The 17,852-nt window shown below is 43.9% G+C and overlaps 1 protein-coding gene across 14 annotated transcripts in view; it reads right to left on the bottom strand.

Moving 5' to 3' along the window:
• NBEA (neurobeachin) overlaps positions 11,849–17,852 on the bottom strand; it is a 730,467-nt gene continuing 724,463 nt past the window's right edge. For all 14 annotated transcript variants that reach the window (XM_047430271.1, NM_001385012.1, XM_006719803.4 and 11 more), the window contains 3 exons: positions 17,015–17,211; positions 16,066–16,217; positions 11,849–13,684 (listed from right to left, as the gene is read on the bottom strand). In XM_047430271.1, the coding sequence (XP_047286227.1) occupies positions 13,594–13,684; positions 16,066–16,217; positions 17,015–17,211 (440 nt within the window). In that variant the 3' untranslated portion in view covers positions 11,849–13,593. The remainder of the gene's footprint in view (positions 13,685–16,065; positions 16,218–17,014; positions 17,212–17,852) is intronic.

Genomic DNA, 17,852 nt, shown 5'->3' with positions numbered 1-17,852 from the left:
AGCCTGGGCAGAGGTTCTCCACTTTGTGCCCCTGCACTCTGCCCACAGCCCTACCAGAGTGGCGATCACAATATCCATTGGCGTCCAGGATTCTGGCTTAACAAGCGACATTTCAGAACCAGCTTATGGTACTTTTGTTGGTATAATACTGATTTTTCAGAATTTCAATCTGAAGTCATATTCATTTATATCTTGATATGCAATTACATAAAATAAAGACATATGGTCTTTACATTCAAACTGAACAAAGGTGCACATGTTTAGAAAGGGCTCTGATCACATCCCTTCTGTTTAAAACCCCTCCCAAAAGATCTCCCTTGGATTCTCATTGTTTCTTCTGCTTATTCCTCTTTTTCATGTCTCCTCAAAGCAGTTTTGAGTTCCAGTGAAATTCTATCGACTGGAAAATCATTTAGAACGAGGGTGAAGTGGAAACAGACAGTAATGCAAACAGGATGGGGTATGGTGAGGGGATTGGAGGGGATGGCAGCGAGGGGAAAGAGGGAAGGAGACAGGAGCTGGGGAGTTTCCCAGCCTAATTCCCATCTCTTCACCTGGAGCCAGACGCATCCCTTCTCCCACAGGTGGTTCTTTTCTCCTCTCATCCTCCATCCCCTTCTGTTTTCTTTCTCAGCTAATGCCAGTCCCTGGAGCCTCCTTTCTCCTGGCCTGAGAAAATTTATTTCAGCCTGTACCGTCTTTCCCGATTATCCTACCTGGAGAAACACAGCTGTGCTTTCAGCAAGAACAGAGACCAGGGACTAGTTTGGAATAGTTATTTTAGCTAGAGGTACACAGTTTGGACATGGCTTATTTTAAGATAAAATACAGTGTATCAGTATTAATGTGGCGATTTTGGGATCCCAGGATGTGATCCATGAAGTGAGAGACCTGCATTGTCATTTTGCCTCTGTTTTGCCATCACTCACCGCAGCAGTGATACTTGGCAAGGAAACGATGCGTGCGTTGTTGGGCTCCCCCACTGAACTCGAGGGTTTTGCTTACTGCTTTGAATGCGGGGCCTCATACAGAACTTGGCAAACCATAAAGACTTAAGACATAATTGCTGAATGAGTGAATGAATTAATGATGGGGGCGGCCTTCATGCTCAGTGAGGACACCCGTCAGGCTTCTCAACATTCGTGAGAGATGGTGGCCCCCATTTCTTGCATTCATGATTTCTAAAACTTCCAGGTTTGGCTGGGCACAGTGGCTCATGCCTGTAATCCCAGCATTTTGAGAGGCTGAGGAGGGCGGATCACTTGAGGTCAGGAATTTGAGATCAGCCTGGCCAACACGGTGAAACCCCTGTCTCTACTAAAAATAAAAAAATTAGCCAGGCGTGATGGTGTGCATCTGTAATCCCCGCTACTCAGGAGGCTGAGGAAGGAGAATTGGAGAATAGCTTGAACCTGGGAGGCAGAGGTTACAGTGAGCTGAGATCATGCCACTGCACTCCAGCCTGGGTGACAGAGCGAGACTCCACCTAAAAAAAAAAACCTTCCAGATTTGCCTCCACCACCACTATGGCAGACAGGCCTCTTCAGGCCCCTGTGAGGGGAGGTTGTCTGCCCTCAAGTTCTTTGCAATGTGCCAACCTAGACACAATCTATCAAGTTAGATTTCCTGAAGGCTGCAAACCTGGTCCTGCTCATTTAGCACGTCCAAGGGTTTGATGCCCTGAGCTGCTTTCACATCATTTCCTTGAATTTTATCAAATGCTCTGTTGGGAAAGGTCACATAAAAACTGTGTTTGCACATGCTGTAAAAGCGTTGCTTGTTGATTTCTCAGTGTCTCAAATATAATGATAAATTAATTTCAGAGTTGTGTGTATGTCCTTGGACAGGATATTTAACCTCTCTGGGCCTCAGTTCCTGTATGTGAACAACTGGAATGATAGTGTCTACTGTAGATGGTTGTTGTGAGGATAAGAAATAATGTATTTAAGTCATATAATTGTGCTAGGTACCCGGTACCCAGTAGGGCTATTCAATAGTTTTTTTTCTTCTTCATTTTTTGAGATGGTGTACAATGGCGTGCTCTCAGTTCACTGCAACCTCTGCCTCCCAGGTTCAAGCAATTCTCCTGCCTCAGCCTCCTGAGTAGCTGGGATTACAGGTGTGCGCCACCATGCCCGGCTAATTTGTTTTTGTATTTTTAGTAGAGATGGGGTTTTGCCATGTTGGCCAGGCTGGTCTCGAACTTCTGACCTCAAGTGACCTGCCTGCCTCGGCCTCCCAAAGTGCTGGCATTACAGGTGTGAGCCACAGTGATGGCCTCAATAGAGTTACTAATAATAACTATTATTATGATGATTATGCTTCTTTTTTGTTTTTGACTGTCCCTGCGAAAGAGCAAACTAGGAAGAATAGCAACCATGCTAACCAAAAGGGAAGGCTGCTGCTATGCCTGAACGTCGTCAGTTTTGAGATTTGCGGTGTGTAAATCCCTGTTGCATGGGCCTGTGCTTTGCGAGTGTCTTCATCCTCACCCGCGGGCCTCACATTTTGACTACTCCATCTCTACTGACGGAGGCAACAGCCTCCGATTTCCTCACTCACAACCAAACCAAACCAAATGCTGAACCAACACATACAGATGCTTTTTCTCTTTCGATGAGGCTATGTCCCCAAAAACCCAACATAAGTCAACATCATGAAGTGGAAAATACATTTAATACCCCAGACATCCATAAAGTGGAAAAATTCTAAATCCAACCATCGTAGGTCGGGTATTGTCTGTTTATTAAAACTCCTGATGCAAATGCACCCGCCTAGATCCCTTGCCTGCTGAGAGCTCCTGGGCCTCTGGGCAGCCAGCCCCACTCCACCCTCCTTTGGTCTCCAAAACAATTCCCTTCAGGGGACCCAGGCTTCCTACTCTCACTTTGTGCTTTGCCTCTAGGACTCTCTCCTTTAGTGTCAACCCAGCAATGCATTTAAACACTGGTTTTTGTATTTGATCCAATGCAATGTTCTAGTTGTTCCATTTGGGTATGGCATCCAGGGCTTCTGGTCCACTCCACAGCCTGAAGTAGAGGAGGCTTTTTTTTCTTTTTTTTTTTTTGTTTTTTCTTTTTCTTTTCTTTTCTTTCTTTCTTTTTTTTTTTTTTTTTTGAGACAGAGTCTTACTCTGTTGCCCAGACTGGAGTGCAGTAGTATGATCTCAGTTCACTGCAATCTCCGCCTCCAGGGTTCAAGCAATCCTCCCTCCTCAGCCTCCCAAGTAGCTGGGATTACAGGCGTGCACCACCACACCTGGCTAATTTTTGTATTTTTAGTAGAGACGGGGTTTCGCCCTGTTGGCCAGGCTGGTTTCGAACTCCTGACCTCAGGTGATCTGCCCGTCTTGGCCTCCGAAAGTGCTGGGATTACTGGCATGAGCCACTGTGCTCGGCCAAGGATTTTCCCAAATACCCCTTGGATAAACCACTTTTCTGCTTCAGTTACCAAAAGCTGATTTTCTTTGCTTCTAAGAAGCACAGCTGATGGAGGGAAGACCCTGTCTCCAAGGACAAAATCCTCTGAGTTTGGCAGATGGTCCATCCAGCTTCCCAGTGTGTGCTGGGCCTGATGTTCCAGCTCCTGAGCCTGGGCATCCCCCGCCGCCCCACTTCAGATCATGAAGGGTGCGTGCCTGGAGCCTTGAATTTCCCTCTGCATCCTGCCAGCTTCCAGCCCTAGCCTGGCACCAAGACCTCTGGCCACAGCCCCACAAAGGACTTTGGGACAGACTCACAGGGGGTTCCTTTCATCTATGCAACCCCAGGTAGAAAGCCAGAGCTTGGGGTAATCACTCCCAGGGGCAGGGACACACAGCAGCTGGGGCGGGGGGTCCCTTGCAGGAGGTTTGTGATGGAATCTGTTTCTGTGGGTAGAACTAAGCCAGTAGCTTCCTGCTACCTCAAGTAGACGTCCATTCAGATCTCAGCTCTGTTGAACCACCCAGGCACAGAGGAAGAGTTACTTTAGTTGGGTTCAGCAGAAGCGTGATGCCCCCGGCTCTGCACCCACCCTGACTTTGGCCACCCTGGCTGCTTTTAGCCGCAGCATCCTGAGTTTGGGGACTTGGGACTACCTCTTCCAGGGCTTCCCAGTCCTCTCTTCTCTGGAAGACAGATGCCCGGTCTTAATCAAGTTGATTTTGGAATTTCAGGAACAAGTAACATTTCAAAAACATTCTAGACACTGGATTTATTTGATCAAGAAAGACATGAATAGCGATCATCTATGGTTTCCTTAATTTCATTTGACAGGAAACTTTCAGCACATACAAAAGACATAACCTCAGAATAAACACAATGGGGTGATTTAGGCATCGGGACAAGCTCGCTGTATGGCCCTTATTTGTCTAATTTCTCATTAGACCAAGGGCATCTTTGTCCTGGGCCCTCAGATCAGGGTTGAGAACGGGCGGTCTAATGACACAAGGGATGCTAGGCAGCCCACCCGTCTGCCCCTGGGGGAGCCTTTGTATCTGCAGCAGGGTTAATTCTCTGTGTTGTCTTAACCAGCCACTGGGTGCCCAGATTCAACATTTCCTCTGGGTGTGTCTTTGAGGCTGTTTCTTCATGGGATTTGCACTCTGTAAAGTGGTGCCACCGCCAGGTGTGGTGGCTCATGCCTGTAATCCCAGCACTTTGGGAGGTTGAGGTTCATGGATCACCTGAGGTCAGGAGTTCAAGACCAGCCTGGCCCACATGGTGAAACCCCATTTCTACTAAAAATAAAAAATTAGCTAGACGTGGTCATGCACACCTGTAAACCCAGCTACTCAGGAGGCTGAGGCAGGAGAATCGGAGAATTGCTTGAACTGGGGAGATGGAGGTTATGGTGAACTGAGATTGTGGCACTGCACTCCAGCCTGTGCGACAGAGTGAGACTCTGTCCCTCCCAAGTGTGGGCAGACATCAGCCCCTCCACAGAGGCCTGAATCCAACAAAAAGGTGGAGGAAGGAGCGAGCCACCCCTTTTGCCTCCCACCTGTCTGCTTGAGCTGGGGTATCTCATCTCACCTTCTCCGGTGCTTGGACTAAGATCGACACCTTCAGCTCCTGCGGTTCTCAGGCCTTCGGGCTCAGGAGGAACCACACGACTGGCTTTCCTGGGTCTCCGGCCAGCAAACTGTGAAACCTGTCAGCCTCTGTAACTGTGTGAACCAGTTCCTCATCAAGCATCTCTCTATATGTATGTGTGTATGTGTGTGTGTATATGTACATACATATTTATATGTGTGTGTGTATATGTACATACATATTTATATGTGTGTGTGTATATTTACATACATATTTATATGTGTGTGTGTATATATTTTTTGTGTGTATATATGTATATATGTGTGTATATATGTATATGTGTGTGTATATATGTATACATTTATGTGTGTGTATGTGTGTGTATATATATGTATATATTTATGTGTATGTATATATGTATATATTTATATGTGTGTGTGTATGTATACATATAGATAGAGATGTATTCTACTACAGCTCTGTTTCTCTGGGGGACCCTAATACAGTCTTTCTCATCCCAAACTCCCCTCCCCCACCACCCCCCTCACGGGCCTGCAGCCCCTCTCCAGCCTTGTCCTATCTGATCTGGGTGTTCATTAGGGCAGGGGAGCAGGATGGGGACCCTGCCACCTACCACCTGTGTGGTTGGCCTGGGACAGGGATCATGACCTCTTTGGGCATCAGTTTCCCAGTAGGATAATAGAGGCGAGTGGATGAGTTGGCCTCTGTGGCCCCTCAGTAACCTTGGGCTAAAGGCTTCTCTCCTCAGGCCCGTGGCCTGTCACCCGGCCTGCCCCTGGGAGGCAGAGCTTGACTCTTCCGCAGGCCTCTCTCAGCCTGAGTGGAGCCGGCTCTGGTCTGTCCTTCTCAACATTCCTGGCCTCCAGCTGCAAAAGCCCCTCTGCCTTCAGAACCATTCCTGGGGGAAGTTCTTGCCACCAGAGGGGAGGGAAGTACAGTGGCATCCGAGCCTCTAACCACCCCTTTCCCTACCAGGTTTTTGGCTATAGACGCAGAGGTGTCCAATCCTTTGGCTGCCCTGGGCCACACTGGAAGAAGAAGAATTGTCTTGGGCCACACCCAAAATACACAAACACTAATGATAGCTGACGAACTGAAAAAACAATTGCAAAAAAAAAAAAAAAAATCTCACAGTGTTTTAAGAAAGTTTACGAATTTGTGTTGGGCTGCATTAAAAGCCATCCTGGGCCACATGCAGCCTATGGGCCACAGGTTGACCAAGCTTGCTCTAGAGGCAAACAGGGAATACAGTTCATTTCTCCAAGAACAATCACAGCCAGGTGCAGTGGCTTATGCCTGTAATCCCAGCACTTTGGGAGGCCAAGGCGGGTGGATCACCTGAGGTCAGGAGTTCGAGACCAGTCTGGCTAACATGGTGAGACCCTGTCTCTACTAAAAATACAAAAACTAGCTGGGCATAGTGGCACATGCCTGTAGTTCCAGCTACTTGGGAGGCTGAGGCAGAATTGGTTGAACCCAGGAGGCGAAGGTTGCAGTGATCCCAGATGGCGCCATTGCACTCCAGCCTGGGTGAGAGACCAAGACTCCATCTCAAAAAAAAAAAAAAAAAAGAAAAAGAAAAAGAACAATCACTCAGAGAAAGGCCCGGTTGCGAAGAGAGCTGGCTTTCCAAGTGATGTCAACTAGCTTTCTGTTTTTTTTCTGTGCTGACTGGGAAGGCACATTAAAAAAAATAGAACTCAATTAAACAAAATGTCTCTTACTAGGTGGTAAACTGAACCAAAATGCAAATTTATGCCACTGGCCCAGGCTCCCCCACAGAGAACATAGATTTTATAGAAAAAGAGCCCCAGATCCTCCTGGGAGGTTTGGCTGTGTCATAAAAACTCCAATTGAGGCCCGAGGGCTTCATTGTTCAGTAGTGAAACCTTAGTTATGTGGCACCTTATGATTTGCAAATAATGTGAAATCCACATTCTATTGTATCTATTTTACATCTGAAGAAACTAAGCCTAAGAAAGGTTAGAGGACTTTCCCAATGCCACAGAGCTGGCCAGCAGGGGAGTTGGGACACAGACCCAGGACTCCAAGTTCCAAGTTGGCTATTTTTTAAGAGGTGGGACCTTTTAGGAGGTGATTAGCACATGAGGGTGGAGCTCTCATGAATGGGATTAGTGCCTTTGTAAAAGCGACCCAAAGGAGTTTGTCTTTTCCGCCACTTGAGGACATAGAAGGTGTCATCTATGAATAATGAGCCCTCACTGAACACCAGATCTGCTAGCCTTGATCTTGGACTTCCCAGCCTCCAGAATCATGAGAAATACATTTCTGTTGTTTATAAATTACCCAGTTTCAGGTATTTTTTTATAGTTACACTAAGACAGGTGCTAAAGGAGGAGTGTGTACAAGCTGTGCACAGAGAGCAGGGTTCCTACTGGACAGTGGAGGGGAGGCTGCCTGGAGGAGGAAGCACTGGGGCCAGGCTGTCGTCAGAAGAAAAGTGCCCATTGGGACATGGCAGCCAAGGTGGCAGACCTAAAAAGCACTGGAGAAAGGGACGAATGGTGATGGTGGTCCCAAATTCAGATGATGGGCAGACAAATTCAGAGTGGTGACAAGAGCCAGTGCTTTTTCAAAAAATTTTTTAAAAGTGAACTTCTTTTTATTGAAGGGTAACATACACACAGAAAAGTGAAAAATCATCATTACACAGCTCAATGATGGTTCACAGAGCAGACCCATCTTTGTAACACCCGTAGCTCTGAGATAGAGTCCAACACCCCAGAATAGCATTCCAGTACCCCCAAACCCCCTCTGGCCCTTACCAGTCACTACCTCTGGTCAGAAGTAACCACCGTTCTGATTCCTAACAGCATATATCAGTGTCTGGATTTTTAAAAAACTCAACAGGTATATTTGGTTATTAGGAACAAAGTTGACAAGAGCATTCTTTTCCATGTGTGTTGATGGATGGAAAAAGCATTTATGTTGGAACTATATGTAAATGTGGGATTATGGCATCATACATAGGCTAGGAATATGCTTAGTTTCCTACCAAATTTGGAATATGTTACATTTTTCTAAGCAAGGGTGGAGAGCAGGGGGCAGGGAGCTGTATCTCTTAAGGGTTATTTGATTTGATCTCAAGTACTAAAAATAAATAAATAAACAAACTAAATACAGCTTCGATCAATGTAAGGGGGAGAGAAAAGTGTTTATTGGTCATTGACTAAAGCAAACATCCAGAATTGGGACATCTGTAAATATGAGGGCAATTTAGGTTCCCAGAAACTTGTGGCTGGCATACAAGTGCACATGCTCTTTCATTTCTCGTGGCTTTATTCTTACCTATTGCAAACAGGTCTTCTCTACAACAGAGAACAGGGTTGCTAGTAGTCCCCGATTTCTTATTGACAGGTTAGTGACTCTGGAAGAAAGAGACTTTTCTTTCTGACTTCAAAATATAAAAAATTTCAAAAGGGTTCTCATTGGCCCAACTCAGGTCATGTCTAACCCTGACCAATCATCGAGGTCCCAGAAATGAAGGTGACATGGTTGGCCAGGCCTGAGTCCAGGAAGTTCCAGGGATCCGGTGGTACAACCGGCAGTCCTACTAAATCCCATGATGAAGAGAGGAGAAGTTTCCCACAGGAAGATCCATAGCAGGTAAATAGGGAAAGGGATGCTGAGCAGATGAGGATAATCCATGCTCACCAGATGGTGGGAGGCAATGACCATCTGCTGAACTCTGCGGGGAGCCAGGTGCTTTACTAGGTGCTTGGTATATGCTCTGTATTTTGATACTCAAAACAATACTTAACGTAGCTATTGTGCCTGTTTTAACTGATGAGGGAGCCAACAAGTTATTCTCAGAGTGAAGAGCCCAGTTATTGGATTTTGTTCTTAGGCAGCTTGAATGGGCTGCAATACCAGAAGCTCTTACCCCAGATCATCTGTCAGCTCCTTTTTCTTCCCACTAAATGAATGTGGGTCAAGAGCAGTAATTAAAATCTTAAAATATTCCCTCTTTTGGTGCTTATTGGAAATTGATTCTCTGAACTTTGATGGAATAGGCCCACAACTGAGGTGGTACTTGGAGCAGGAGGTTCCCTGGCGGGCACTGTCATGCAGGCTGGGAGAGGGTGACATGAGGCTGTGGGGCCCTGGGACAATGAGAAGAGGGAAGTTTGGGGGCTCTGGACCGTCCCAGCCAACTTTGTCATTTTGCTTAGGGACGTGGTATCTGTCTGCTTATCTATACATTCCGCAAATCACATTTGTTGAGAATCTACTCTGAATCCAACACTGCTTTAAGGACATAAGCTTCGTGTTGCCCATGAAGCTCATAGCCACATGGAGGAAAGACATGTGAGTTACAATAATGCACTGCTCAGGGCTGTGCCAGGCCCACCACCAGGGGTGAGGAGGCTAAGCCAGTGGTCAGGGAAGACATCCCAGAGTGGGGAGCCTGTAAGAGTAAGTAGGAATGTTATGATGTTGTAATTTACTTTAAAATATCCAGTATAGACATGTGATGTGTTAATTTATACTGCGTTCTAGGGATAGTCAGTTGCCCTGATCAGAAATATACATTTCAGAAAGGTGTCATTCCAACAATCCAGCTTCCTAATCCTGAATAAACTGGAAGCTCTATGAGTTAGGGTAGTAAATACTAGAAATGGCTTTGCAGCAGGGGAAATTATTGGCTTCTAAATTAGTTCAATGGATGATAGAAATGTTCTTTTGTTGATGGAATTAATGATGCTAAATATACATATAAATTCAGTATATGCTGGCTAAAGTATTTGAACTTTTCCTACCTCTCTATAACCAGGGTTTAACAATCTAATGAGGCTTTTAGCACATACTCTTAGGGTGGTGCCCAGAGCTTGATGGCTTGATGATTGGGTTGGAGGATTGAGGCTGCTGATGGCATTACAAGGCTCATGGGATGCTACTTCTAGAATATTAGTGCATCTGCTTCAAGTGTACCTTTGGAAATGTAAAATGATTTTGAGATCACGTAAAAAAGCCAAGCTCTGGACTTCACCAAACTCACAGAAGAGTTGCAGGCACTCTTTTGCCTGCTTGCTAAAATGTGTTTCATTTAAAAGTATACCGGCCGGGCGCAGTGGCTCACGCCTGTAGTCCCAGCACTTTGGGAGGCTGAGGTGGGCAGATCACTTGAGGTCAGAAGTTCAAGACCAGCCTGGCCAACATGGCGAAACCCATCTCTACTAAGAACAAAAAAAATTAGCTGGGCATGGTGATGCGTGCCTGTAATCCCAGCTACTTGGGAGGCTGAGCTGGAAGAGTTGCTTGAACCCAGGAGGCGGCGGTTGCAGTGAGCCGAGATTATTCCGCCACTGCTCTCCAGCCTGGGCAACAGAGTGATACTCTGTCTCAATTAAAAAAAAAAAAAAAGGTATCCCCACACATAGCAGAAACTGTTTCTAAAAGTTGTTTTCATCATGAAATAGTGAAGATGTGGTGTTTTGGGGGCTACCTTTACCTGCCAAAAAAGACTGTGCATGACCAAATTGGTTTAGGTCAATCTGCGACAAGGCAGTAGGCGAGTGGTGCAGGCAGAGAGGGGCCGCCTGGCAGGAGGAGCCTTAGGGACTCAGGTGCAAGAGAGTTCTCAGGAACTTGGAAAAAGGCTGGTTTACTAGGGGTGCTGGCTGCTGGGGGTGGTTCCTGAAGGACTTCGCTTCACTGAGCTTAGAATTTATCCCTCCAATCAGTGTTGTTGAAAATGTGCCCAAGAAGTGCTTGGGGTGGGAGGGGGGAGCGGTGGGACTCTAGATCCTGCTTTTAAAAATAAGCTCCCCAGGTGATTTTCAACCCACCAGAGTTTAAGAATACCATTTTAAGCCATTGGTATTGGTTTTTCAAAGTGCTGGGGGGTTCTGGGGGGCGCTGGGGGGCACTAGGGGGGCGCGGGGCGGCAGGGAGGGAGATGACTGGATGGGTGCCTTCGCAGCAGGGCGGAGCATGGATGGGAGGGGACAGGTCAGAGGTCAGGAGGTTTTCGGACAGTCCAGATGACAGTGCTGGAAAGGGCAGGGGCAGTTTCAAAAGACACTTTAGGTAGTGATCAGTCAGTTGGCTGGAGTGCCTGGCAGGAGGGCTGGGTGAGGGAGCCAGCAGGGCAGATGACTGACAGATTTCTGGTTTGGGGATAGGATGGAAAGTAAGAGCGCAAACCTTCCTTAGGCTACTGTTGGGTCTGTCCCTTTAGTCTCGGGAATGCGGATGGAAGCACGGCCTGCAGTTCTGTCATTCTCTGGGCCTGTCTGGGCCGCTGCCCCAACCACCCATGCCAATCTGTGTGACCGAATCCCCCTCAGCCCACTCGTGGCTGCCCTTGCTACCACCCATGCCAATCTGTGTGACCGAATCCCCCTCAGCCCACTCGTGGCTGCCCTTGCTAGCAGCTGCTCAGCCTCTCCAGGTCCTCGGTCCCTGCCTGTGCCATGCCTGGTCACTGATGGGTTCTAGAAGGTGTGGTTTCAAATGAAAAAGGCATTATGTGATAACACTCAAAAAAGGAGTTATTATAACCTTCACTACTTAGTTCCTTTTAAATAAAATAAAGACAATCCCCAAAGTGGATTATGCAGAATAGACAATGAGGGCCGTTTCCCCATGGTCGCTGTTGCCCCAGATCCCTGCCAGATGGCTCGGCAGAGCAGCTCAGGTTTCAGCAAATTGCAGAACCTCATTAGGACTCGATTTCATGTTTTTAGATGCTGTAGGCTCTACATCAGATGATGATGACTTCGGAAACCTGTATGACAACACAATGAAAGCATGCTAGTGACATGTCCAATGAAATCTGAAACAGTCGGTGAATTCTTTGCATATTTTATTTTTCTTTTTTTGATTTCCAACTCACACACATCTGGCATATTTTACATCTTTGCAATAAAACATGGTTACAATAGCTTAAGGAATTTATATATCCAAAATATTTCACCATGATCTCAAGATGAAATGAACTTGTCTTCCAGATGTTAAGTATCCTCCCAATTCTAAGCTACAAACTCAAGATATTGCTTACAGCCTGGTGATGAATAACTTAATCATTACGCTGATTCCCCATAATTTCAGAATTTCATAAATACAAACAACAGTGAAGAAGGAATTCAGTGCTAAAACTTACTAGTACAAGGTGGATAACAAATAAGTAATCACATCAATAAATAATGATATGTTTCTGGTGCAAAGTGCCAATACAAAGAACCCATTATCTTGTTTTATCTTTTTAAATAAATGACTGCGAGTGAGTGTAAATTCTGAGAAAATTACATTCCTGTAACATGCCTCATAGCCCTACCGACACAATATGTACATCTATGACGATACAGTCACCAAATATACAAAGAAGAAACATGAAGAAAGTGTATATACCCCTGGGTGTATAACTTGATCAGTACAATGTATGGAAAATCATTTGATAGCCATCATTTTATATCATAAAAGATGAAATGCCTTAGGCTAAGAATGTGGCTTTCAGTGAGAATTTCACGAGAACCTAAAAGAATAACTTCAGTTATTGTTGTAATAAAGTTTGACTTGTTATTAAAGAAACTAAGCTATTCAAGAACCAAAGAGAAAAAAAAAGTTAGCATCAGATTATCCTCCCCTAATGTATACACACCAAGCCAGTGGGATAACTCTGGAAGAGATGTCCAGGTGCTGGGAAGTTATTACTACAGAACTAACGCCCATGACTCCTATTTATACAAGAAAAACCAGGACCTCATCCCTAAGCCCCCTTTCTGCTGTGTCTTCAAATTATGCAGGGTAGGGCTGAATTTTCTTTGTATAAAGTACCCAAAATGGCAAATAATGGCTTAGTATCCAAATGCTTTATGAGCAAATTTCACTCAGAAGGGATGACTTTAGATTAAAAAGTGCAAACTATATTTTGGTGAAAATGTCAAAAATTACTGATGGAGCCCAAATTCAACCCTTTCATACAAGCTGTGTCCTTGGACAGATCTTTCTGTTTCATAGTGTGAATGCACCTGTTCCATCAAGCCAACAGGAGTAAGGAACATGCAAGTTGTAACTCCACAATAAAATTAAGAAACATTTTGTTCTTTATACAAGGTTTTACTTTTACAAAAGTATCCCTTTTAAATAAGATGCATCTGATGTACAAAGTATCAAACGTGTTTTTTTTTTTTTTTCTCAGCTTGAAAAGAGGCTGGAAATGGGATGCAGGTTAGGTTCAAAGCTTAAACTTTGTAACAACTGGACACAAGGTTCCTCAGAATTGTCAAAAGTCTCTTGTGACACATCCTACAACCTTTTCTCAATAAACAACAATATATGAAATAATTACCAAAACATCTCCTAATTCATATAATTTACATGATATAAGCTTGCTTGATAGCAGCTGGTGTTCAGTCGTGAAAAAACACACAAAGTAAAATGGTTGCTGACTACAATGTACAGCTATTGCTGGGTGTGATGGAATGTACAAACGGAGGTCGATGTAGACGAGTTTTTTCCACCAGAGATATTGCCTTTCCATGCAGCACTTGTGCTCTCAGCTTTAACTTGGCTTTTGGTTCTTCCTTTATCTTCAGTATCTGTTCTGATGCTCATAATGCCACCGATTAAAATCTATATTAAAAGCTACAATGCTACCAGAAGCCATGCCAGTGATCAGAGTCCTGGAAAAGCAGAAACAGCAGTTAAGAGTGATATAAAATCATTTCTGTGGTTGCTATTTTACACTAGACAGTATCTCAAAGTTTGGCATTTTACACTAGACAATATCACGATCTCAAGGTTTGCCAAGTCTTAATTTTGTATTCATGGAAGTAGGACTGAAATTTCTTCTTGGTTCTGCTGAGAGGAGCACAGTTAGCCCGCACACACCTGGACAGCCAGCCCTGCTGCAGAGCGTGAGGGGCCCACGGAACCACATTTCCAGCCTCCGCTGGGTGCCCCATTTCTCTCAGCAATCACACACGTGCCTGTCCGCTGCCTTGTTTTGGGCATCTATTGGCTTCTCTGAGGATATCTGGCATCTCTTCCTATCTCTGTGACCTTTCTTTTCTTTGCCCCCTTGAATCACTCCACCTCTTGTCCTCTCGGTCCACAGTCTCCCTGGACGTAAAGGCAACGACGTCTCATTCTGAAGCCCCAGATGCTGATTTCCCATTGCCAAGTGGAGGTCACTGCCAGGCTGTGTCACAAAACCCTCAGATTCAACATGTCCACCATGAATCACTGGTACCTTCTGACCTTGCTGGTCTTTTGCTGGTTAAGTCACCTTGTCTCCTCTCCCTCTCCCTCCTAACTGATCAGCTGTTCAGCTCTGAGGCTTCTTTTTCAGGGATATTCCTCCCCAGTCCCACTGCCACTGACTGAACTCAGGTTTCAGGATTTCTGTCTACATAAAGTGTTGCTTCACTTTTGATTAGACACCTCATCCAATAAATACCTTTTGAGTAATATCCCCAATATATGTTTATCAGTTTATAATTGATATGCATGCACTATTCATTATAAAACAACAAAATAATCAAAACCAAGGATGAGGTTAAAATAGAAATAGAAACTTAGTATCTTTCCCCCCTCCATTGAGACCCCCTAATACTACTGCAACTTTGAATATGCTCTTCCATCCACCCTGTCTGTTCATGCCTGGTGAATGGATGAGCCTCTTCTAAGGTCTTTCCTGCCCTTCCCAGCCCTCAAGAAGAGTTCATCCCTTCCTTCTTCTGTTAGTCTGTTCCTGGTGCCCTCATATGCAATGATTATGAGGATCTGAGCTCTCTGGGGTCAGTTTCTTGTTGTGGATCCTTAGTACTTTGCACTGCACTCAACCTATGATGATGGCAGCAAAATGAATACACGAACGAGTAAGAATATCAGGGAAATATTGAAACTGCTTACAAACACAAATCATTTCAAACACTCTGGAAACACACATATATACAAATAGTAACACAACAAACCATTCCCATTTATTCCTAAGTATGGGCTGCAGCACTTTGGGATACTCCAATAATAACCTTAAACCTTCTTTAAAAACAGTCTGGGCTGCAGACCAAACATCCTTTCCCAGACTAAATTAGCTTACAGCGTTTTTCCTGATGACTTCAGTGCCATTTTATTATATTGTGAAGATGCTTTGTTAACTTTATTATGTCTTAATATTTAAAATATTTTAAAACCAATACTGTTATGAGGAATATTACATGTAGTTGGGAAAAACGTTGATTAACAAGCTTTTCTTATTTCTGTTAAATAGCAAAAATTAGAAATCACATGCCATATTCAGATTACAGGGTTGTAGTTTATTTTAAAGGCTTAGGAACTTTAGACTTTATATTTCTAATATTATTTTCACTTTGTAAGAAACCCAAAGGTAAATTTCAGGAAATAATAAAATCCTATTGCAAATTGAGGAACAATGGAAAATCATTATTAATTGATTAACATCCATATCAACTCTTTCCAAGAAAGAGCTGGATTAAAGGATTAACGTGTTTTAAGGAAATACATACAATAAAACAAAATAACATAAATGAGAAACAGGTAAATAAGAACATGGGGGTAAAAAAATTGTTCTGGGTAATGCGTGAGTGCCGCATGCTGTTGAAAGGGGGGCCAGCTACGGCCCACACTATGCACTTTGCTGGAAACTGGTTAGCAAGAAGTAGGTCTCACACTGAATCCCACCTCTGCTGAAAAATACGTGTTTCCCTCACATCATATAAGCCAGGGTGGCCTGTCTGAGACTAGGCAGGAACCTGAGAACAGGGAACTTGGTGGGAGTAAGTTCTATGTCTTGGGCCCTTAAAACATGTCTGCAGGCACCTGTTCTTCATCAGATCCTTTTCTTTTTTTCCTTCTTATTCTCTTCCTCTGTTTCCCTCTCACTAGAATCCTTACTCTTCCCCTCATTTTCCCCTTTTCTTTGCCAGTCTTTCTTTCATTTGGATGCTGGAATTGCACTCACAGCACAATTCACCCTTGGTAGAATGAAGAGAGCCTTCAATGACAGTTCTCAGTGATGATACTTGTCCTTGACGCAGCTCACCTCTGGTCATGGGACAAGTCCATTGCTCTAATGCCAGCATCACATCCAGGGTAAATGTACAGTTGCTTGAAGTCACAGGCCTGCCAGACCTCTACTACCCCATTGTCCCCTCCGGTGACCAGGTTCTGGCCGTCACTGCTCAGGAGAATGGCCTTCAGAAAAGGTAAAACAAACAAACAAAAAAAAACAAAATAAAATAAAATACACAACAACCATTTCTCTCAATTTTTCCTAAATAGCCAACTGTCACTACTGAAAAGTACTCAGTACAGTTCCCTTATCATTATTGCCTACTGTCAGTCATTTGTCCAACAAAATCAAGTTCAATCCACAGAATTTCCATTGTGGAATTCATCGAAGTTCTTACATATACAAAAGATCTTATTAAAACCAAGATTAAATTCCCAAGAGAATATTATCAATTTAATCCAGGAAGAATTTGAGCATTAAGTAACATGTTTAGTTAAATCTTGAATATTAATATTATAGAGAATTAAAGAACAAATGGAAGAAACATATTTCAAAACAGTGTTTAATAATGACAACCCAGCAATTATAATTTATTCATGAATGAAGGGCAAATGGGTATATGTAATTTTTGTTTAGGGTTCTAGAGATAGAAATCTTTGAAAATAAACTCACTTTTAATGTTGTGAGGGTGCAGCACTGAAACAATTATAAAAGGAGCTTTAAAAACCCTCCCGAGGTTCTAAGCTTTAATCAAACAACAGCTATCATTTCTGAAGTCTAATGCAGTGAGTTAATTACTTGCAATTAAATGAACTTTGGGTTTCTTTAAAGTACCAGTCCGCAAGAAGTTATATACTTTTAATCTAGAACACATTTATCTGGATAGCACAGACATTCTATTATGAATTATTTAATGTAAAACAATCAATCTTTAATCTCTTGGCTTCAGTCCTACTTAGCACGAACTATGCAGATTTACCCGTGTTGAATCATTGATCTCCATTTGAGCCAAAAGTTTCCCATTAATGCTGAAATTACTGAATCGCCCTCGTTCATAGTATATGATACAGTGGCCTTCGCTGGAGACAGATATCAAGCGTGGGAATAAGCAGTTTTCTGGTCCTTCAAGGGCTCTCAGCAAATCTCCAGTGATGGTGTGGACAAGGCAAGGGCCCTCTGCAAAGTGGGGACATCAATGCCAGGGTCAGTTGGGGACGACAAACGACATACTAGCTCCCACCAACCTGAAAACCTTGCTGGGTGTGCGCTCAGATGTGACGGAAGAGGACAGGAAAGAGGTAGGCTGGCCAGGCCAAGCGCTGATGCTACATTTAAACAGAGCAAAGCCAGAGTACCTGCTACATATCACACTCCTACGCCGCACGCTTCTTCACCAGGTAGATACTTGGTCTTTTCCTTTGTCAGGTAATATTCATAGTAAAATGGTACAGCTCACAGATTACGTGACAATAAAAGACTTTATGTGCCAGACATTTTCTCTTAATACGCTTTTAGAAACTTTTCTTGAAAGTTTAATAGAATTATCAGAACAGCTGCTCATTTTCTCAAGTAGCATCAAAATTTTACGCGTTGTACCACATCAATACACTGCCGTCAAGTACATTTTACCTTTTTCTGTCATCCATACGCATAAAATGTAAAAGCAAAATTGAGAAAACTTAAGTATTTCAGCCTACAGAAAGATATTTTGTCTTTCAAATAAATGAATAGTGAGGCAAGAGTGTGAAAGGAGGGTAAGGAGTGACATTTGGCTCTGATGGTTTCTGGGTTTTTTTGCCCTTATAAAATAGTGTTGA

Source organism: Homo sapiens, chromosome 13 (genome assembly GCF_000001405.40).
Source record: "Homo sapiens chromosome 13, GRCh38.p14 Primary Assembly".
NCBI lineage: Eukaryota > Metazoa > Chordata > Mammalia > Primates > Hominidae > Homo > Homo sapiens.
This window is presented reverse-complemented; position numbering and strand designations above follow the sequence as displayed.